Here is a 23,983-nt window from a genome sequence, read left to right as displayed (position 1 = left end):
GGGGGGCTAAAGGAGGGATAGCATTAGGAGAAATACTTGATGCAGATGACGGGTTGATGGGTGCAGCAAACCACCACGGCACATGTATACCTATGTAACAAACCTGCACGTTCTGCACATGTACCCCAGAACTTAAAGTATAATTTTAAAAAAAAATCCAAATGTGGTCAAACTTGTCTTCATTCTCTCACTCCTGGTGAAATGGGGACTGGCTCAGAGTTGGCCACTGAGAGTGACCAAAGGAGTGAGCATTGAAGTTTAGGGCAAGAGGGAATTTTATGATTACCTAAGGAGTGCCACATGAAAAAGTTTTTATTTTTGTGAGGGTTTCCCCCAAAGCAGAACTTGATACACAGTTTTGGCTTCAGGTAGTTTACTTGGGTGTTTATCTCAAGAAATACAAGTGGAGAAATGGATAAATTAAGACGCAGAAAGGAGAAAAGCCAAGGAAAGGTGCAATAAAAATTGAACTACTAATATAGGCTATTGGAGCTCAGCTCTGCTGAAGATGCTCCGAAAAAAGTAGAGTATACTTCAAAATTACCCTACACGAGTACAGGGGGACTGAGGCTTGTATCCACCAGTTTGCATCTCCCTCTGGCTGGAGACTACCTTTGGAGGTATTAATTTTCCTACACTTCTGAGCTGTGTCTGCTTGCTGTAGAACATGCTTCTGCTAAAAAATATCCTCAGGCTTAGAAAAAGAGAGAGAGTTGAGAGAGAAGCTGCCAGCTTCTGGTACTGACACCATAGCTGCAAACGATCTAGGTGAGTATGAGAATATGGTATAAGGAAGCATTATCTACTACGATGTCTCATGGTTAAACAACATAAATGGAAATGAAATCACCACCATTTTCCTGGCTCAGAAGGGAATTTCCAACTGGCCGTACCTGCCCCACCTTGATCTGAAGGCGTTTCCTCTCATTATCATCCTCCCCTCAAAAGGTGGCCAAATCCCTTTTTGTTCTGAGTGACTTATGAGTGTCTAGGACCTTTACATCAGCAGCTTGTCTACAGGAGATGGTCCATCTGGAACAGGTGAGAGGTTTAGGCAGAATCTCATGGGCAATGATAAACATCACTTCCATCCAGACTCTCAAAGTTCCATGGGTTAGTCGCTAGCAGTTTGCAGGTCACCCACATAGAAGAGGGACACATTGGCTTGGTGCAGAGCTTTCTCATAGCTTCTCGATGCATGAAAGATTTCCTGCAGCTTCTCAATGCATAAAAGGTTTCTTTTTCCCCATGTCAGTCCTCAGCTCTCCCTCTTTTTCCCTTACTCTGAGTCTTAGTTACTGAGATAATTCATTTTTCTCACTGGAATCTGAGCTTCTCTGTACCATTGACCAATTCATGAGTGGTAAAACAGTTTAATAACAGATTAATACTTGAATATATAAATTTCACCTCTCAAGATTAGGAAATGTCAGGTTAAAGTCTAGCAGATTTCCTTAGCATAGGAGTTATCAGAGCCTCTCTTATTGTTATGAGCCTCAGCTGTCCTCAAAGCAGTGGTTAAAGTTCACAGTATTTCCCAAATCTATTTGACCATAGAAGAGTTTTTCAAAGAGCACCTCATGAACCTAATGTTCTTTGGAACACACTTGGAGAAATATTGGTGTAGCACACTCCATCCATGTTACTGATGGGAAAATTGGGGTCCATAGAAGTGAAGTGTCTTGCTTAAGTCATGCTGTAAGTTATTGATGGAGCCAGAATTTGAAGCCAGGTCTCCTGTCTCTTAGGTGTTCTTTGCTCAGTAGAAGAAAAATGATCGTGGGTTTACCTTGTGATAAGTAGTTTGTGAATTATTCTTTCTCCGTTGTTGATGCATTTGAGAAGTGTCATCCTCCTTCTATATCAAAACCAGATGAATGAAGATGTTTACAACCATTCCAGTGATCAACTGTCAGATAGTAGGAGAAGGAGATAAATAAAGACAAGAGAAAAAAAAGGAGTTAAGACATAGGCAGGCTGGATGTGACAGAGGTGGCTTGCTGTCAAGCAAAACTTCCTGCTCCCTCCCTCATGTGGTAAGTTCTTATTAATGGAGGTGTAGGTGGGGTTTTAAGTAATAAAGATACTTTCTCCACCTTCTTGCCCCTCTACCATCTAAATGCTGAGAACTCAGGTCCTAGGGAATGGCAAACCATGCAACAGAAGGAAGCCTCCTATGTAAACCCACATATGGAAGAAAGCCTCTGATTGACCAGAGAAGACTCTTACATGAGCAAGAAATGTGCTTCTATTGTGTCAACAACTGAGTTTTGGCTTTGATACAGCAGTTCACATTGCCCTAGTTAATGTACTGGGAGGTGGAAGGAAATACGGGGCAAAAGAACAGATGAGAGATGTCAAAAAGTATGGATTGATGGGTCAAAAGTTAGGGGACACACAGCCATGTCATCTGAACCAGAAAAGAACCTGGAACCAAAAAAAAATCAGTCCTTTTGCTCGGGGACTGAGGGGACCAGCAGACACAGCATCCTTCACACCATGCCCTCCTTCACCCTGCCTTCATTCAATTGCTAAACGTGCCTCGTTCTGCTAAGTGTTCAGGTGGTATCTACTTCTCTCCATTCTCACTGGCAGTACCTGGGTGGTCATCTTCATCTGTTGGCTGGATTATTTCAATACTCTGTAACTAGTCCTATGTTCTGTTAGTCACCCCTTTTTCCCCTCACAGATCCATTCTCCATGCTGCAGCCGGAATCATCTTCCTAACACACAAATGGGATTATGACCCACTCCTTAGGCCCTGGCTTGAACCCTTCAATTAATTCTCAGTGTGATTACAATAAAATTCAAAACTCTATGTGGCCCTGCATGATATGGCCTGTGTTTCAGCTGTCACCTCTCCAGTCCTTAGACTCTGTGTTTCAGCCACTGTGAACTTCTTTTGGCTCTCTGAGTGGGTCACACTTCTCTTGCCTCTTGTCCATCACATAAGACACTCCCACTTCCCAAATGTCCTTCCCCTTCTCTCCTCTCCATGTGCCTTCCTACCAACAGTTTGACTCCCACTCAACCTAGCTGTCACCTTTTCTGGGAAGTTTTCTCTGACATATTCAGACTGAATTAACTTCTTATTTTCTGTCTGTCCTTAGTACCCTGTTCATTTCCCTATCAAAGCACTGTCATACTCTACTGAATTTTCTGTCTGTATCTTTGGTTAGACTGATGCTTGAGGGCAGAAACACCTCAATCACCATTAAATCTGAGCACTTCATGGATATTTGGTACAGAGAAGATGTTCAGTACTTTTTTTTGCTTGTTTTTTAGCTGGGTGGATGGGTGGGACAAATACCTGTTTGATACAAGCCAAAGAAAAGGTCATACATAGGCAATAAGCAATGTTGGTTAACCATTAGTGAAAATAGAATCACATTTTTTTCATACATTTATTTATTTATTTAATCTGATCCATAAATATCTTTTAACATATGATTTTCCAAAGTTGCTGTGTTTGACTCTTTTAAAGGATTTGACTGATTTGCTTAATTATTTGTTTGTTTGTTTGTTTGTTAATATGTGAGTAGACAAGCCAGCACATCTTTCTCACTCTCTACAAGCCAGGACTGGAAGAAATCTGGTTGTTGGCTTAGGAGGGATGAACCACGCACTGGGTTAAGACCTTGGCTCTGGAGTCAGAGCGTCTGAGTTTAGTTCTGCCATGTGATTTACCAACCATGTGATCTCAGGTGATGAATTAATGTTTCTGAAGTCCTTATCAGAGTGCCTAGTACATATTAAGAATGCAACAGTGGGTAGCAATATCATCAATGTTATATTCTCCACAAAAATTAACTTTATCATTATCCTTCCTTAATATTGTTGTTAGACTGTGACTGACGCATCACGGGGGGCGGGGGTTGTACACTGTGTGCAGGAAAAGTAACCAGAAACATCAGCCCTATGAGATCATCAGGAAAGACCTAATGCTTCTCACTGGACAGACAAGAAAACCCACACTCAGCAGGGTTAGGAGACCTTCTCCAAGTCACGTAGCTAGTAAGGGCAGAGCTGAGAGTCAAACCAGAACCTCTGATTCCAAAGCCAGTTCTCTTTCCACTACACTGCACGGCCTCTGGGTGTTAGCATTTCCAGGTCCCACCTACTTCCAAATATCTAAGGTCAAATAGGACTTTGGATTCCAAATATGCACACTGGGACTGCCTGTTCCCTTCTCTCCATTCACAGGTATGTGGCATTGTGGGCCCATGGGGCATTCTGCCCAGGCTTCAGAGCTCTCGGATGTGCCTCCCTTCCCCAAGCTGTCTTCTCTGTCAAGGGCACAGAGTGGTTCCCATAGAGACCAAAGTAACCTTTCACAGAGTTGTTTCTGCGTCTCTCCCTGGGAATGGGCTGGGATTGCTATCAATCTCTTGCACTTCAGAAGTCCAGAGAAACCAAGGCTTTTGTGCTTTGTAGACACATGCCACAAAAACTGAGCACACTTACCAACTGAACAAACATCAGAGTGTGCCAAATCTCTAAAGTCCGATTCTTAGTGCAAACTGCCAAAGCAGGTAACACTTACAGTACTCAGAAGGTCATAAATCGTCTAAGCTCGATAGCACCTGAGGCCTCTTCTAGTCTGAACTATTTATTTTGCAAAGGAGGAAATATGGGCATAGAAATGGGCAGGAACAAATGTCCAGGCTTTGGTGATAGTGGTTGTGGGGTGTCTCCTGGGTCCCATTCCGTCATCCTTCTCATTACACCCATATACGTCTTCCTGGAGCCTCATCATAATTGGATACCCCTTACAGAGACCAGCTGCCTGAGACATAGACACCTGCTCAGGACGTTGGCTATCACTATGGGGAGGCATTTTGACACAGGCCATTGTTAGTGATTGGGAACACCTCCTAAAAATGAGATGGTCTGAAGGGGTCCCAGTACTTGGGGGCTGTGTGTAATAGGAGCCTTAAGAGAGGCTCCTAGACTATCTCTTGATTGCCTGTATTATATTTTGTGAGAATGTAAACCTACCTCACTATGAATTTTAGCAAAATAAAATTTAAAAGAAAACAACCAAATGAAAAGAGGTGTCATACAGAAAAGAAGTATGGACAATTCTAGCGATGTTTCAAGAATAGTGTTCATCACTGGTTCTCCAGTACACAGAGAAATGTGCTGGAGAGGTTCATTAGGATTCTTGAGTCAAGCCAAAGGCTACAATCAGGCATGTGGTTTCAGGCATCCAGTAGCAGAGGTTAGCTCTAGAGTGGGGCCGGAAATAAACATTGCCCCATGTACCTACCCTACCCTTAGCTTAGTGCCTCCCAGTAGGTGGAAGGGAAATCTTAAGGAACCAAGATGGGTTGATCAATTCCAGGAAGCTTTGATGTTTTCAAAATCCCATAGGATATTGAAGTCATAGAACTTCCCAGGGGGTTCCTGAACCAGAATTCGCTTCAATCAGACAGACAGGGAACATATCTACTGTCCTCTGTTCTCCACATTTTCTCATCTTCTGAACCTCCACTTCCAGTCCTAAATCAGAGATAGGCAACTCCCTGCAGTACGGCGATACCACATGCCAGAGGGCTAAAGGAGTTCTCTCTATTGCACAGGACCATTCACAGGCAATGGAGTGAGTCTGAGGGGGATCTGAAGGGGAAAATTGCCTTTTGAGCATACTAAATTCCATCCCATTTAAGGCAGGAGACAGTGTCTCTTTATTCTTAAGCTTCCATTATCCTCCTTGGTACCCAGTGCGTGGAAGAGACTGAATAAACATCTGACGGATGACTAGGTAAATGAATGAATGAAAGAATAAAGTGAGTGTTTGAGTTAGTTAGAAAAAGAGTGAACTATATAGGCTAGAGAATGACTGCCAAAAAAACCACAAGGGCATTGCAAAATCTCCATAATACACACATAAATGTTCATGCATTCTATGATGGAGAAAGAAGTTCATCTGTTTATATAATTCCTATCAAAACTGTATTTCCTCTTATGTTTTTTACTTTCTTGAACTCTTTAAAACAAGAAACTTTTAACTCTTTTGTTCTCTGAACATTTAAAATAACTTTTTGGTGTTATTTCTTTCGTTTTTTCTAGCCAGTGAAATATTTATCCCAATGAGCTGTTTTTCACTTAACCTTGCTTAGTGTCTTTGTCTGTAGTCACCACTTGGCCTTTTCACTACTATATGCATTAACACCCAGGTAGGAAAGAGACAAATGGAAGCAAAATAGCAAAATGGTGAAGAGGAGGGTTCTAGAGGCAGAGAGCCCTGCAGTCCTGAGTCCTGAGTCCACCGTTTAACAGAGTGACTTTGCTCAGCCTGTGGATTATAATGAAACTTGCCTGTAAGTATGATTATGAGTAGTCCTGTAAGGATAATTCATTGCATTGTGTTAATCACACAGTGAATGATCAATGAATTTTAGTTACTGGTATCATTATATTGAATTGCTATACTACTGTATTACATTAAATCATATTGTATCATATCAATCATATCATCTATTATATATCAGTAGCATATCGATCGTGGCCTTGTAAAACCAGTGTCTACGGATGTGTTGAACAAAGCCACATCCTCCACAGAGTCCTCCTCCAATCACCTCCTTAACTTTCTTCCCCAGATTGAGATCGCACCTTATTTCTCTCTTATGTAAATTCTGAAAGTAGTACCCAGTGGTCTTCAGGGAGAGAAATCTTGTTTTTTCTCTGAAACAACATTCAGCTACACCCATGGCTGGGCTCTCCTGGCCTTCCCTACATGTGTCCCCCTCCCTCTCATTCAGGAGAGGCCATTTGAGTTCAGAGTCCTGATGTGAGGCTTGCGTTTGAGGAAGGAAAACCACTTCAAATCTCATTTGTTGACCTGACTTTCACCCTTCCCCTCCAGCATTCCAAACTCCCACTCACATCAACAAGCTAGAATTTTAAACTTGGTTGGAATTGTAAAAGCTTGAGGTTATTAGAGCTCAAGGATAGGGCAGGAGCTGAGTCTGACAGCTTGTTTTACTCTCCGCACTGAGGCAATCAAGGCCAAGGCAGTGTCAGGGAAAGGCCAGGTTTTCTTGTAGCCTTGGGCTGTTGGCCTTATGCTAGGGAAGGGAGGTGGAGCTGAAGATTTGGCATCAAATTAGAAAAAATAAGGTACACTGATTCACTCAACTCTGTGCTTAACCCTGTGGCAAACACGTTGGTTAACTTCTCCTCTGCTCTTCTTTTCACCTTCTTTAGGTTATAGGATCCAGTTTTTTAGGTGGTAGCAACATGCTCAAGGAAGATGCAGCCCCTTCCTCCAGCCTGAGAGAATAAAGCATCATTGGCTTATGCCAACCATGGCAATCCCATTCCCCTTTTCTCATGATTGATTTGGGAATGGGCAAGTGACCCAGTTCTAACCAATGAGACGAAAGAAAAAGTCTATTGGTCAGCTTATCTCAGAAGATTTTTGTTTCCTGCTATAAAGAGAAACAGTAAGTTCCTTCCTGCCTGACTTAAATGCAATTGTGTGCAAACATGTTACTTGGAGCTACAGCAACGATTCTGTGACCATGAGGCAATAAGCCAAGGACAAAGGATAGAATAGTGAAAAGACAGAGTATTGGATTTTTTTTATGATATCATTGAACTGCTGGACCAATGTGGAACCATCTACTTTTAGTCTTTCATGATTTGTGAGATGATTAAACATTTCTTTTTTTTAGCCATTATTTCTTTTCTGTTACTTGCAACTGAAGACATCCTACATAATACAAACACTATCCAACTTGGATTGTAATTTATCTATTTTCAGATCTGTGTGTTCTGTCTTACTGATTTTTGTATTCTTAGCACTGAGTATAAGGCTGCTACTTAGTAAGACTTCAATAAATGACTGTTTAAAAAGGTCTTAGAGGATTTAAAAAAAATTCTGAAGTTGCTGAAATATGAAGACCAGGAACCAATTTCAGGTTCTATAAATTTCTCGCTTCCTTCACTTCTGGAGTAGTCTTCATTTCTGTCTGATTCTACCTTTACTAAAATGAATGAATGATTGAGAAATACGAAAAATGGCTGGTATAGTGGCTACTGCTGAGAAGTATCTCTTGGAAATTCCCGGAAATTCCATCAGTCACATTCAGACCTAACTCTCTGATGATCAATGTTTCTGAACTCAAACCAGTGTACATAAGCAGTGGACTATTTAAAGTGGTATTAGCCTAGAATATCTAGGACCCATGTTTTATGCATTCAGTAAGCGTTTGTTTAATGTCTGTTATCTACCAGGCACATTATTATGCATTGGGCATATAGAGATGACCAACCACACGGCCTCAATCCTTGAAAAGCTTACAGTAACCAAATAGGGTTAACGGCCTAAAGAGAGGTAATTACAAGTCTTACACTCAGTCTTCTTAGCATAGTATGGTGCTACCTCTGAGTTAATTAAGATAACAAAATTCCTAGATATATATCTTTGATGAAACGGTTTCCATGAAAACTTTCCAAGTTTGGTCCCTCCCCGGCTGAGTTCATTTTGGAAGGTGACTTTCTGCTCTCATCACCTAAGGTCCTTAACACGTATCCTGTGTTCTCCGGAGGCACCCCTTGCCCAGAGTGTGCCCTCTGCATGGTTCCCCCAGAACACCTATTTCAAAGGAAAAGAAGTTGGATCATTCAGTGAAGATTTGGGGGGCCACTTTTCTACGTGGGAGGATTATGAGTATTACCTTCCTCCCCTATGTATTAGTAAATATAAAGAAAACATAAATTAACCCCCTTTCTGGCTGGGCACGGTGGCTCACGCCTGTCATCCCGCACTATGGGAATCCGAAGTGGGCGGATCACTTGAGGTCAGCAGTTTGAGACCAGCCTGGCCAACATGGCAAAACCCCGTCTCTACTAAAATATAAAAATTAGCCAGATGTGGTTGCACACATCTCTAGTCCCAGCTACTCGGGAGGCTGAGGCACAAGAACTGCTTGAGCCTGGGAGCAAGGGTTGCAGTGAGCTGAGATTGTGCCATTGCACTCCAGCCTGGGTGACAGAGCAAGACTCTGTCTCAAAAAAATAAAATAAAATAAAAATAATTTAGACCCCATTCTTCTTAGATAACCATGACTTCTGAAGGAGGTCAGAGCTCTTGTGCTCTGCATCTCTGCTCCATCAGCCTCAAGGCCACCTTTCAGGTCCACATGAAATATAAGTGCACAAAGGCACCAGACTTAGCATTATTAGTTTCCCCCACTGGTCTGATTTTTGTAGAAATTGCCAGGAACTGATTTTCTGCCCTTCCTTCCTAACAGACAAGCCTTCCAGCCCTCCCTGACACAGCTCTTCCCTATCTCCTACTCTCTGGTCATCAAGCTTTTAGAGATGCCCTGGCCTTCTCTAGTTGCCCCAGCTGTATTTTTTCTTCTTGGGAATGCGTTGATTCCAGAGCCTGACTGGGAATAAATCTCAGCTCCTCCATTTAGCAGTTATGGGATTCAAGTTACTCTTACTCCCAGGGACTCAGTTTCTGCACCTGTAAAATGGAGATTTACCACCTTTCGTTCCAGCATTACTGATATTGTTTGGCTCTGTGTCCCTACCCAAATCCCATCTCGAAAATTAATCCCTATAGTCCCCACCTGTTGAGGGTCCTGGTGGGAGGTAATTGGATCCTGGGGGCGGCTTTTCCCATGCTGTTCTCGTGATAGTGAGTAAGTTCTCACGAGAGCTGACGGTTTTATAAGTGTTTGACAGTTTCTCCTTCACACGCTCTCTCTTCTGTCTCCTGCCATCATGTAAGATGTGCCTGCTTCTCCTCCTCTCATGATTGCAAGTCTCCTGAGGCCTCCTCAGCCATGAAGAACTGTGAGTCAATTAAACCTCTTTCTTTTATAAATTACCCAGTCTTGGGTATTTCTTTGTAGCAGTGTGAAAACAGACTAATGCAATTACCATAATGGGCTTTCAATTGATGAACTTGCATCACTGACTCCTCAACACGCAGCTGACTTCCTACTGTAATTGTTCACCATGCAGACATTTGTGGAGCCACAAGCATAACCATCATGGTATTTAAGATTCGTTCTGTATCTGGATTTATGCAGTTTATGAAAAATCATCAAACTGTCCTTATTATTGGTGTCTTTTTTCTGTATATATGTTATGCTTCAATAAAATATTTACTTAAAATTATTTTAGGTATGTTAAACTCACTACACCAGACAGGGCTTACCTTCTCACTCTGCTGTCTTTATCCCTCTCTCTAATTAAAAGGATTACACATACATCTGTACTTGTTTTAGAAGAATAACACAGAACAGCAAAATTTAAAAATTAAAAATTATCCATTTCCATTCCCAGCACACAGAGACAATCATCACTACTATTTTAGAAGGTGCATATCATATTTTACAATAAAAAAGAAATAATGTTAATAAAGTTTTATAACCTTTTGATATAATCTGCCTGTAAATTCCAGAATATTGTTTTTAAAGGCTGCATTATGTTCAGTTCAATGGGTATAGCACAATTATTTAACCAATCCCTACCGTTAGAGATATAGATGGTTCTGGTATTTAGCAATGCTGCCATGAACAGCTTTGGAGCTAAATCATTGCATTGCATTGGAGTTTCACTCCGCTCAAATTTCAGTTATTCACACCACTCCTTCCAGACTCCTTTAGGATTCTTGGTCTTGAGGGAATTCACAATCGCTTTATTATGCACTACATCTTCTGGACTTTTCTTCTGAAAGGTTTATGTCCCACTGAAACAAATAATGGGCTTGATAGAGCCATTTTCAAAGATAGGACGGGAAGGAACAGAGGCGCTTTGAATCACAAAACCCATTTGCTGGAGTAAGTGGGCACAGGGGACCTTAGGGCTCTCAGACTCCTGCCTTGCTGAGGGCTGATGCAGCTTAGGAGCCCTGTGGCACCTTACAGTGGTGTTTGCTTCCTGGGTGTTATTTGCAGTGTTTCTATGGTGCTAATGACTGCAAATTGCTAATGGCTGTGAAAAGCTAATTGTTGTGCAAGGTGTTTCTCTCTGTCCCAATTGCCAGGGGAGTGCACAGTCATGGTTAAACAGAGACTCATTAGCACCTCTGACATAGTCCTCCTGGGGAATCCTCAAAGCAGCCTGGAAAATAACCAAGTCTCCACCATCCAGAGCCAGGCGGCTTTGTACGTGGCCCGCAACAAAAAACAAGGGAGGCAAAGATCTAGGAAACACCACCCAGAAGGAAACAAAGGAAGCTGGAATGGTGTGTGATGTGCTTCAGCTGGTGAACTGAAGAAGTAGAAAGGACGTGGTCTTTGTAGGCAAGTTTCCTAAATTAATACCAATGCAGTGGCTAGGAAGTGCCAGGCACTATGCTCAGTACTTCACGGCTTTTTCTCTTTGAATCACACCCACTTTTCAGAGGACTACACTGAGGCTCAGAGAATGAATAATTCTGCTCCCCACCCCGCCACACACACACACACACACACACACACACACACACACACACGGAGAGAAAGAATTTGACTGCTAAACTTAATTCGTTATGTTCCCTAAATACTTCATGAAAGTTGGGCTGTTTAAAAAACATACTAGCAACAAGCCCACATTGGTGCATGAATGTTATTCTTCTCCTGTATTCCTATAAGTAAGGTGCAATGTCTCTGCTTCCACTGATATCCTGTATTCTAAGCTATCCACTTTAAAAAATCTATTTGGTTGATTATATATTATTTCCCTGTCCTTTGACTTGAGTTTAACAATTCCCCTGATAAGGCAAACTTAGGCATAATAATGTTTGTTTGAATTCATAGTGCTACAATTTTTACAAACTCTTTTTTTGCTTCTTTATAGACTCATTAGATTAGAATTTTTCAGCTAGAGGTATGGGCTTCAGAATGGCCTACTCCTTCCGCCACCCCCCAAGTTCTTTAAATGTGCCTTGAAACCTGTGCCTTCCCTTTTCCCAGGCACTAAAACCGTTTGTTGCTTTGTGCAACACACCAAGTTGTGTTTCCAACTCCACACTTTTTCAAAAACAGATTGAATCAAAAACAATAGAAATTGATGGAGTAGCTATGTCTGCAATTGCCATAAGACTGTTTGCTCGAGTTCATCCTGCACACTCTTTGAAAGACAAAGTAGAGGGGCCATTCCCAAAGGAATGGCAGTCTGCTAACACAGTACAAAGGAAAGAAACACTGGAAAGCAAAACACTGCCATTTACAGTCGCAGGAAAGTTGCCTGGACAACACAGAGACTCAGGGGATGAAGAACTGACCTCACCTGCCATCTTTCCCATCCTTTTTCCTGCCTCATTAGCTTAACAGAGATAGCAGGTGCCTGTATTGACTTGAGTATTAACAGGGCAAAGAATTAGCACTAAAGTTAATGTTAAACTCTCAATCAACTCAATTGATTCAATAATGAGATTTGGCGTGGTCAAAAAAATTTAAAAACAGAGGAGTTTACATTATTTCCAGCTCCCCAGGAAGCGAGATGTGCTGCTTACAGCTGATGAACTATTCCTGACAATTATTCTAAGTGGAAGACAGTGCAGTAAGAGAAGTTGATGCAAATGATGTCATCTGAAAGTTAAGAGAGAAAGCAAAGGGGCAAACTCCTCAATTGGTAAGAAAATGGTCCCTCCAGAGAGTCAATCCCATTTGGTGCTATCAGATCTCAGTCCAGGATGGGTTACTTCAACTCAGGTTGAGCACAAAACAGCCCCTGCCATTCCTGCTGGTCACCATGCACCAGAGCAAAATGAGGACAGCCTATTTCCAGTGTTGCTGAGCTGACAGTTGCCAATAGCTGTCACCCCCTGGTTGAAAAGACAGGACCGTCATGTGAGAAGGCCCCTCCCTTGCTTGCATGTGGGAAATGCAAGGTCTTCCTCCAGCAGCTGAGCTCAGGGTCAGAATAGGAGCAACCATTTGAAAAAGACTTCAGTAAGCTGGATGTATCTTTGTGGTTTCTTCTTGCTGGGAGTTTGGAACAAGGCCAAAGACATTCATAATTCCTGGAAGAACATCACCCTCCTGCTGTGTAAATGAGAACCATTTAGGAGAGAAACAATGGTAATCTCCTCCCCTAAATCTGTTCTCGTCCTGAATTTCTTTTTTTTTTTTTTTTTTTTGTGAAAGGCTCTACCTACCATCATTTGCCTAAGCCAGAAACTCAGCACTTACTCAATACCTCCTTTCCCTTCAACACAGTAATTCAATTTCTGAATCTGGTGGTGGTTTATACCTCTTTAATATTCCTTGCATTTTCTCTTCTCCCTTCTCACTTGTTCTTCCCTGGTTTAGGATGCTATCTTTTCTTGCTTGAATTACTGTCTACAGTAGTCATCCAAAGGTCTCTCAGCTCCTAGGCTTGTCACCCTTTACGCCACAGCATGACTTTTTAAAAATCCAAATCTGATCAGTAAACAGTCAGTTTACTGTTGAAAATATTTGAGAATGCTCCAAAGCTTTAATGATGCAGTTCACAGCCTTTAGCTTAGCATAAGCAAAATGTGAAGAGCAGACATTTTACCCATCTTGTTTTGGTAGAGTGTAGAAGCTCTTGAACCACAGGTAATGTCTAGTACTATTTTCTTGTGGTGGTAAGAGAACAGAGAAGGGCTACTCAGGTGCTGGCTATGTGGTTAGACATAAGAATTATGTGTGATAGACGTATGAATTATGGTACTATGAAGCCAAAGCTAGGGTGAGAAGTTCCTCTCCAACAAGAGTTATATTATAAACTGAATGTTTGTGTTCCCCCAAAATTTATATATTGAAATCTTTATGCCCAAGGTGATGACATTAGGCGGTGAGATCTTTGGGAAGTAATTACGTCATGAGGGTGTGGTTCTCATGAATGGGATCAGTGCCTTTATAGAAGGGACCTTAGAGAGCTCTCTCGCTGTCTTTCTACCACATGAAGTTACAATGAGAAGCTGACTATTTGCAACCCAGAAGAGGGACCTCCCCTGAACTTGACTATGCTGGCACCCTGATCCTGGACTTGCAGCCTTAAGAACTGGGAGAACTTAATTTTATTGTTTATAAGCTGCCCAGCCTGTATGGTGTTAAAACAGCTTGAACAAAGACAAGTTGAAATAAGATAATAGGATGACCAGTTAAACTTGAATTTCAGAAAAACAATGAATAATGTTTTTTGTAGATTAAGTATGTTGCATGTAGTCTTTGTTTATCTGAAGTTTGAAATAACTGTTTTTTTATTTGCTAAATATGGTAACCTTATACCATAGCATTGGCTGTAGGGTGGAAGACAAGGGTGAGGGGAACTTTCAGGAGAGTCTGTAGGGGAAAGCTAAAGGCCAATATAAGGAAAAGGACTGCCAGTTAAATACAGCAGATAAAGACACAGGTGAATGTCAACTCCATCCAGAAAATCTCCAAAATAATAGATAATAAAAAACATAAATTATGAAGGAAATGGGAATAGAACATGAAAGTAGATGATAGATTTCAAAAAAATTTGGAGATACAAAGTAATACACACATGGCAACCTACTTAGCATAGGGGAGAAAGATTGAAGAGGAGAGAAGCTGATTAAGCTGCAAAAATATGGAAAGTCTCAGAAATGAGGGGCACTGGGATCCTTAGAAGACATTGAGGTGGGGAATGATTAGTCGAAAATCTATATAAGAAGAGGGTGGTGCCTGATGCCTTCCCTACATCATGCTTAGAGGAGGTGAGAGGTTTACTGGGAATATGAACCTGAGAGCTCCCAGAGTTAAGCACATGAGGCAAAGGAGATAGTGGAATGCTGTGCTAAAAAACACAGTAATTAAATAAAAGCCTACCTTGTAAACGGTGAGATCCCCACTTCTGTTCCTATGCCGCTGGGTTTTCAGATGGCTGACATCCTGACTTAACAGAAAACCCACGGATATTTGCAAGCAATTCGCCAAGAAAATTATTGGTTTCTAACTAATCAAACCATCCCTGTCCAATGTACATAGATCATCCATTCAGCTTCGTAGTGACAGATTCTTAGCCAAAAAGAGATAGCCAGGGATGGCTAATAGTTAAGGAAAACTTTTCTAAAATGAGAGACCCCAAACTAAACAAACAAAAAAAAGGCAAAAGGTACTTGGAAGAAAGAAAGGGCCTATAAGAAAATTTCAAAAAATGTGATTACTGTTCTTGGAGAATAATATAACATTTTACATCAATGAAACAATAATGGGATGCTATTTTTAAAATACATTCAAAGCAAGAAAAACAGAGAAGTAAAATATAGAAATAAAACACTCAGTAAATAACTGAAAGAAAACGTTAAAGAAACCCCAGAAAGTAGAACAAATGATTAGAGAGATGATAGGAAGGACATAAAGTTAGATGTGTAGTGCAGAAGATCAAACATCTGTTTAATAGAAATTCCAGAAAGAGAAAAGAGAGAAAATAGAGGATGAAATTATTAAATAAGAATATACATCTCCAGTTTGAAAGGTCCCACTAAGTGCTTAAAACTGTGAATTTAAAATTAACAGCATACCTGTGTGAATGTACTTAATGCCACTGAACTGTACACTTAAAACTGGTTAAGATGGTAAATTATTTCATCTGTATTTTACCGTAATGAAAACAACAACAAAAAAACCACCAAGGTAGAGAGTCATTGATACCAGCGACACATAGAGGATCCCCAAAACTTTGAGGATCAATTAGGAAGAAAAGAGGACTCACATAAAATATCAAGAACCAGAAATAGCATTTGACTTCGGTCACAGTGAAAGTTATTAGGTTGGTACAAAAGTCACTGTGGCTTTTACCATTACTTTTAGTGGTAAAAGCCACAGTGACTTTTGCGCCAAACTAATAGAAATAATTGGGCAATGCCTTCAGAATTTTGAGGGCAGTCCAGGCGTAGTGGCTCACGTCTGTAATTCCAGCACTTTGGGAGGCCGAGGCAGGCAGACTACTTGAGGCTGAGAGTTCAAGACCAGCCTGGGCAGCATGGTGAAACCCCATCTCTACTAAAAATACAAAAATTAACAGGGCATGGTGGTGCATGCCTGTAATCTCCAGCTATGCGGGAGGCTGAGGCAGGAGAATCGCTTGAACCCAGGAGGCAGAGGTTGCATTCCCATCACGCCACTGCGTTCTAGCCTGGGCAAAAGGGTGACACTGCCTCAAAACAAAAGAAAAAAAAGAAGTTTGGGGAAAAATTACTTCCAGAGAACTCCACCTCTTGGCAAATTCACCTGTTTCTCGGCACCAAGTAGTGGTTAATAGTAAACTCTTAGGTAAATATTTGGTAGATGGAGGAATGCATGGATAGTCTTAAAGAAAAATTAATGTTACCCAAATTCGTAGCCACAGGAAGAGGTTTCACACTCCATATTGAATCTGGATGCAAAAAAAAAAAAAAGAGAGAGAGAGACAATTTTATCCTGAATCTCTCCCAAGTAACAAAATTCTTATGTTCATTTACTCAACAGGTATCTACTGAGTACTGTGCCCTACACTCTACTAAGGCCTATATCAGGAGTCCCCAACCCCTGGGCCACAGACAGGTACCTGTTGGTGGCCTGTTAGGAGCCACGCCACAGATCAGGAGGTGAGCAGGGAGCCAGCAAGCATTACCACCTGAGCTCTGCCTCCTGTAAGATCAGCCACTGCATTAGATTCTCATAGGAGTGGGAATCCTATTGTAAACTGCCCAGGCAGGGAATCCAGGCTGCGTGCTTCTTATGAGAATCTAATACCTGATGATCTGAGGTGGAACAGTTTCATCCCGAAGCCATCCCATCCCACCTCACTGGTCCATGGAAAAATTGTCTTCCACGAAACCAGTCTCTGATGCCAAAAAGTTTGGGGATCACTGGTATATACGGAATATTAGATAATGCATTCTGCCATTGAATGTCTTTAAGTTTAGTTTGGGAGAAGAGAAACATGTGTGTATTAAATCAATACTAGAAGCACTATATAGCAATATAAGAGATGTCACAATGCAAGATAAAATCTAGTGTCAAGGTAGAATTCCAAACAATGAGTCAAGAATGGGCAATTCACTATGGGCTAGAATACTCAGAAGAGGACTTACGGAGGAGGTAGGACTTGAGCTGACTTTTAACAGATAAGATTAGGTCAGTAGAGAAAAATGCAACATTCCAGCCAGGGAACAAAGAGGACAAAGCTGAGATTCAGGCAGACTCTGGATGGAGCAGAGTTGGTGTCAGGCATGGTGGGTGGTGAGATTTCAACTGGCAGGGACACACATTGAAGGGCCAGAATACCACGCCAAGAGGGTTGGGTTTTATAATGGGGAGCCATATGTGATGCCTTCCCTAAACTCTAGTTCTTCCTGATTATAACCACACAGAATCAGCAACTCCTTCCATTATATTTTCATAACCTCCTATACACATTTCCAATAGCCTACATATCATGGTGAATGATGGTGATCTGTTTATGTGGCTGCCTTCCCCACTAGGCCAGGAGATCTTGAGAGCCAATGCTTTCTTTACCATTAATGTTGCACTGCTAAGCACAGTACTATGGGCTTAGAACATACTTTTGAAGGAATAGAGTGAAAGAATGGTAGAGGCTGAGACAGACTCAGTGTAGGGAGAAATGTATGTTGCTGTTTCTATGTATCTCTTTCTGTCACCGCCTCCTGTAGTCACCAGAACTCCTCCTTATATCCTAGAGCTATGAAAACTCTAGTCCTGGGGAGAAACATGGGTATTTCATGCTTCTAACTATTCATGTGTCAGTCCAGAATTAGAACCTAAAGTAATCCCACCAGTCTCAGGCCCCATGCGATTATTTATTGACAGTACTACTTGACTCTGAGAATGACTGCCCTGTCCTGACACATGCTTCAATGAAATTGGTTCCCCAAATCCTGCAAAACAGCTTAATAAAGTAAACAGAACCCCTACCCACCCACTTCCTTTTGGCTCAAGAGAGGTCCCTCCTCTCTACATAAATATATATGGCTTCTCAATACTTCAGGCTTTAGCCTTAACTCCCAGGTTGGAGAATTGTGCTGCCAATTTAACATCTGTCAATTCCCAATGCCTCACCAAGGCCATCTAGCAGTAGGAGCCAAGTGTCTGCTTTAGATTTCCAAAGCAGCCTTCTTTGCTCTGCTAGGAGCTCTGCACACTCCTGGGAAGTCACAGGAGCTACATAAACATGGCTCAGGTGACGTTGTGCGTACGATGCTGGGAGGGTTGACCACATGATTTCTCAGCATCTCTAATTTCTGTAGTTACCACTGGAGGGGATATAACCTACATTCACTTCTAGACAATGTACCACAAAAGAGTCTTTTTAAAATATCTTAAAGATTAGTACATCATCTTGTTTTCCCTTAAGCAATACATACACAGCTCCTAGCAGTTACAGCTTTGTGAGTTCTATCCTGAAACGGTACCACAGCCAAATGTAATTAAAATGAACTATGCTTTGTTTCTCCCCTGCCTCCCACCTCAGAATTACTCCATATTTCTTTCCTTATGAATCAGGAAACAGCTGGTAAATCAGTTCATTCTTTTTATTCCTTCTATCTCAAGCTCAAGCTGGGAAGGCCTTGTTAGCATAAACTTCTTTTTCTAAATAAGTAGTTCTCTGCATTCATTCTTTCAGTAATGTATTGAACAATTACACTGAGTAAAAAAAGCTTTTCTTAGAAAGACACAAAAATAAATAAGACACAGTTTTTACCCTTGAACAGCGCATGAGGGAAGACAGACATAAATGAAGAATTATAATATAATGTGAAAAGTACTACTGTAGAAGTGTTTACACTGTGCTGGGGAAACCTAGTTATCACAGACGAGCCACATCCAGGAATGGTGAAGAAGCCATTTCAGAGGAAATAACATTTAGTCTGGGTCTTATAGTCAGGGGTTGCTGACGGGGAAGGACCTTCTAGTTCAGGCAAATAGTCCATGCATTTGTACGCTGGTGTAAAAGGTTTCACTAAGGGCATGTCTTAAGAAAGTTTAGTAACAATCAACTAATGGAATCATGATTTACTCACTGAAATGCTTAATTGAGGATGACATTCTTTCTCTTGGCCTTTTGGTCTCCTGGTCAGCTGGCTCTTCTCAGAATAAGGGACTTAATGACTTGATTACATGTTATGAAAGTTACATTCATAAGTGGCCTTATTTGTAAGGTGTTCATATAGTTTGCCCAGGAAAATACCATTTTATGCTAGTTGTCCTAGTATAAATGGTAACAGTGCCCTCTTTCATGATCAAATGTCTCTATGCTTAGATAGTAAATAACATGACTGCTCTACTTATTTGAAAAATAAAATGCATAAAATATTTATCTGACCAAGAGAATATGACTTTCTATTGGTGGATCCAATCATCTTGCTTCAGAGACCAAAAATGGTTTCATACTTCTAAGAATAAAACATCTTTTCCAAGATAGATTACTTATAGGCAGTGGGCAGACTTAATGAATAAAAAAGTCCTTCCAAAGCACATAACTCTGTAATTAGAAGAGATTTCTCCCCTGATTCTTTTGAGCTAAGAGACAAACAAACAAGAAAACCCTTGCCTCTTCTCCCACCTAGCACCATTTCTCATAGGCTAACAGAGGAGAATATTTAGTGTTTACAGGAAATGCAGTAGCAGGTTACCACTGAAAGAAATGCCCTTTGTCTTCCTTTTTCCAATGGGCTTTGTACCAAACAAAATGATTTCCATTTGCGACTAAGTCAAATGTCATTCTTCGTCCCTCCAGCTGGAAAAATGAATGGAATGTATTGAGAACTCAAGACCAAATGGCACAGAATATCAGCCCCCATCTTTGCATTGTCACCACAGGCGTTGAAGAACTCTGATTCTAAAATTTGATTCAACAAATCACAAATACTTTCTGTACCAGGCCTTGTGCTAACATGTGGGAATACAGTAAGAAATAAGCTGTGCCGCTGATCCTTGTATCAATCAAAAAAGACTACATTATGTTACAATAACGAGCAGCCCCAAAAAACAATCTTACATGACAAAGATTTGTTTCTCAGACTCCATTTCAACCATAAATCAACTAGAAACTCTACTCTGCATAATCTCTTTCTGGGATCTAAGCTTAAAAAAGCAACACCACCAGGAATGCTGTCAGTCTCTGTGGGAGAATGGAAAGAATGTGATGAAGCACACATTAGCTCTTAAAGCTTCCACCGCAAAGGCATATCATCTACTCACATTTTATTGGCCAAAGCAAGCCACGTGGCCACACCTAAATTTAAAAAGGAGAATGACAGTCCTACCATATGCTTCACAGAAGAGGAAGATGAAATAATTCCGCACAAACTTAATGACTGTGATAATCAATATGAGATTATATTTTGCAAAGGAAGATAGACAAAGAGCCTGGTCACACTCTCATACCTTAACAGAGAAGCTTGTATAGAACTCTGCTTGAGCTGAGCACTTTATGAATATGCAATCATAAAATACAATGCTCTCAGGAAATTTTTATAATAAACTTTTCTAGTGTTAAAATAATAGCAGGTAAGGACTACAAGAATTTTAAATGAATGTAAATGCATTAAAGTCAATAATATAATGAAAAACTTCATCTATCATAAAAAAGAATTGACAGAGTGATGGGGAATTAGTAACCACTTCCCCAAACTGAGATAGCAAGCTTCAAGAAATTATAAATAAATATGTTTCAAATGATTACAAAATTAAAGCAAAAAACCCATAGTGAAAGAAGAGGATGCTATTTAAAAAAAAAAAAAAAAAGACAAAGCAGATTTGGAAAAGAATCAAGTAGAAATTGTGAAAATAATAACATTAAACAAACCAAAATTTAAAATAAAATGGACAGAGAGAAACAGAGAAGATGGTGGATTAAAATAAAAATATATCAATAATTGCATTAAATATTAATGGAGGCTGGGTATGCTGGCTCAGACCTGTAATGCCAGCACTTTGGGAGGCTGAGGTGGAAGGATCACTTGAGGCCAGGAGTTCAAGACTAGCCTGGGCAACATAGCAAAACCCCATCTATATCAATAAAAATAAAAATAAATTCAACTATAAAAGTTTAAGATTATCAGATTCTATTTTTTTTTAAATTTCAACCTAATTATCTGCTGTACATTAAACATAAGGAAAGGGAATTTGAAAGTAAAAGAATACAAAAATATATACATGCACATATCAATGAAAAGCAGTCTAGTATAGCATTATTACTATCAGACAGCTATCAAAGTGTACTCTAAAGCAACAAATATTATTAAAAAGAAAGAGGGATATTTTATGTTTATGAAAGAGTCAATCATTCATGAAAATTTAAATGTGTATGCTCTTATTAAGAATTTCAAGGCCAGGCACGGTGGCTCACTCCTGTAATCCCAGCACTTTGGGTGGCCGACATGGGTGGATCACCTGAGGTCAGGAGTTCGAGACCAGCCTACCAACATGGAGAAACCCTGTCTCTACTAAAAATACAAAAATTAGCTGGGCATGCTGGCGCACGCCTGTAATCCCAGCTACTCGGGAGGCTGAGGCAGGAGAATCACTTGAACCCAGGAGGCAGGGGATGCAGTGAGCCGAGATCATGCCATTGCACTCCAGCCTGGGCAATAAGAGAGAAAGTCAGTCTCAAAAATTTTTTTTCAAAATATATAAAGAAAAAAGTAACAGAATTTAGCTCACACTCATTAGTATTGTTACTATAAAACAAAACCCCACAAAATAACAAGCATTGGTGAGGATGTGGGGAAATTGGACCCCTTGTGTACTGTTGGTAAAAATGTAAAATGGTGCAGCCACTGTGGAAATCAGTATAGTGGTTCCTCAAGAATTAAATATACTTCTGAGTATATACCCAAAAGAATTGAAAGCAGGATCTTGAAAAGATATTTCTACATCCATGTTCATCTCAGCATTATTCACAAAAATGAGAATGTGGAAAAAAAACCGAAGAGCATATCAACAGAAGAATGTGGTGTATACAAGTATATATCCATAAAATTGTGATATTTATATACAGTGGAATATTATTCAGTCTTAAAAAGGAAAAGAACTCTGATACATGTTACAGCATGGATGAACCCTGAGGACATTATGCTAAGTAAAGTAAGCCAGTCACAAAAAGATAAATATTGTATGGTTCAACTTGTAAGAGGTACCTACTGTAGTCAAATTCTTAGGGATACAAAGTAGAATTGCTACTTTGTATATATGTGAATACATCTCTTTGTATCTCCATGATAAAAGTTACCAGGGGCCGGGGGGAAAGGTACTAGAGAATTATTGTTTAATGGGTATAGAGTTCAGTTTTGCAAGATAACAAGAGTTCTTGAGATTGGTTATACAACAGTGTGAACGTACTTAACACCACTGAACTGTACAGTAAAAATGGTTAAGATGGGAAATTTCTCCTATGAATATTTACCACAATTAAGTTATTTATAAAAAAGAAATAAAAGAAGAAACAGAAAACTCTATAATTGAATCTCTTTGGTATTAATTATCTATTGCTGCAGAACAAATTGTCCCAAGACTTAGCTGCTTAAAACAATAAATACTGATTATTCAGTTTCAATAGATCATGAGTCTTGTAGTAGCTTAGTTGCATCCTCTGACTTAAGGTCTCTCCAAGGGCGATCTTATCTCAAGGCTCAGCTTGGGAAATATCTGTTTCCAGTGTGGTTATTGCAGTATTAAGCTCCTTGAATAATGCTGGACTTAGGATCTTATTTTTTCCCTGGTTGTTGACCAAAAGCCTTTTTCAGTTCTTTGCCATAAGAACCCCCACAAAAAGAAGCCCACCATATGGTGGGCCTACGTCCATCAAAATGAGCAAGCAAAAGCCCAGCAAAAGCATGAGTCTTTTAGCAGCCTAATCTTGGAAGTAACATCCTATCACTTACCATATTCTATTCCTTAGAAACAAGTCACTGGTCGAATCCACAGTTAGGGGGAGATGATCACAGAAGGACCTGAGTACCAAGAGATGAGGATTGTTATAGCCATGAATAGAAACTGTCCGTGACATTTCTCAATAGCTGATAGAACAAGCAGAGATAAATTAGTTTAGATTAGTGAACATATGAACAACAAGTCTAACAAACTTGAGCATGTATAAAATACTGTATCCAACAACCATAGAATATATGATTTTCAAACACGTATGAACTGTTTACCAAATTTAACTTTATGCTTCTCCATGAAGTGAGCCTGAACACATTTTAACAATTTAAATAATGTTTTCTTATCGCAGTGAAACTAGGCTAGAAATCAATCATGAAAGATAACTTTATTGTCCCTAAATCTTTTGATATTAAGCAATATGCTTCTAAATATCACACAGGATAAAAAAAAACAATGAATTTTAGAAAATGTTTTAACTGGATAATAATGAAAAGTGGACATATCAAAACTAAGGCACTTTGGGAGGCCGAGGCAGGCGGATCACGAGGTCAGGAGATCGAGACCATCCTGGCTAACACGGTGAAACCCCATCTTTACTAAAAATACAAAAAATTAGCTGGGCATGGTGGCGGGCACTTGTAGTCCCAGCTACTCAGGAGGCTGAAGCAGGAGAATGGCATGAACCTGGGAGGCGAGCTTGCAGTGAGTGGAGATCTCGCCATTGCACTCCAGCCCGGGCAACAGAGCAAGACTCCATCTCAAAAAATAATAATAATAATAAAAAAACTAAGGAGATATAGCTAAAGCTGTGTTTTAATATAATTTTAAAGATAAACAATCTTAAGAACAACTAAGCACAGAATGCAGTAATGAACCTTAAAACTTCAATATACTAGACATAGCAACAATAGAATTCAATAAATAAATACTAAACAAATATTAAAGTAATATCTGAAATTTTTTAAGGAAATAATGGTTATCCCATGATTTCAAAGACATCAAAAAATTACCTTCAAGAAATAACAGCTAAATGACTGTAACAGGATCTTTGGGTGTTACTTTTCTGGCCGGAAACCTCTGTGGCCAGTGATGCCTTTACCCAACCTTTGCTTGGGCCTGCTGGGCTCATTCTGCCCACTCAGCTTAACAGG

The 23,983-nt window shown here is 40.2% G+C and overlaps 2 long non-coding RNA genes across 9 annotated transcripts in view, besides 1 other annotated feature; one reads left to right on the top strand and one right to left on the bottom strand.

Moving 5' to 3' along the window:
• The window catches only part of LOC101930053 (uncharacterized), a 121,382-nt gene that overhangs the window by 74,817 nt on the left and 22,582 nt on the right, over positions 1 to 23,983 (top strand). For 5 of the 8 annotated variants that reach the window (XR_001746602.3, XR_929431.2, XR_428440.3 and 2 more), the window contains 2 exons: positions 6,180 to 6,323; positions 7,210 to 10,140. This is a non-coding gene — a long non-coding RNA (uncharacterized LOC101930053). Of the gene's footprint in view, positions 1 to 6,179; positions 6,324 to 7,209; positions 10,141 to 23,983 lie in introns of those variants that run through there. The other 3 variants (XR_001746603.2, XR_929429.2, XR_929430.2) reach the window with 3 other exon arrangements.
• Positions 1,786 to 23,937, bottom strand: LOC105375956 (uncharacterized). Its single transcript, XR_929433.3, has 3 exons — positions 23,843 to 23,937; positions 22,832 to 22,900; positions 1,786 to 1,909 (listed from the first exon to the last, which is right to left on the bottom strand). It is a non-coding gene; the product is annotated as an uncharacterized LOC105375956 (long non-coding RNA).
• Positions 19,977 to 20,271: a silencer, noted in NCBI's record as "tiled region #8982; HepG2 Repressive non-DNase unmatched - State 24:Quies". NCBI's record gives its function as "represses a minimal TATA promoter and a strong SV40 promoter by Sharpr-MPRA in HepG2 cells {active_cell/tissue: HepG2}" and the evidence as "EXISTENCE:reporter gene assay evidence [ECO:0000049][PMID:27701403]".

This window comes from Homo sapiens, chromosome 9, assembly GCF_000001405.40.
Source record: "Homo sapiens chromosome 9, GRCh38.p14 Primary Assembly".
NCBI classification, from domain to species: Eukaryota; Metazoa; Chordata; class Mammalia; order Primates; family Hominidae; genus Homo; species Homo sapiens.
Note: the sequence above shows the minus strand (reverse complement) of the source record. Positions and strands in the feature narration are given on the sequence as shown.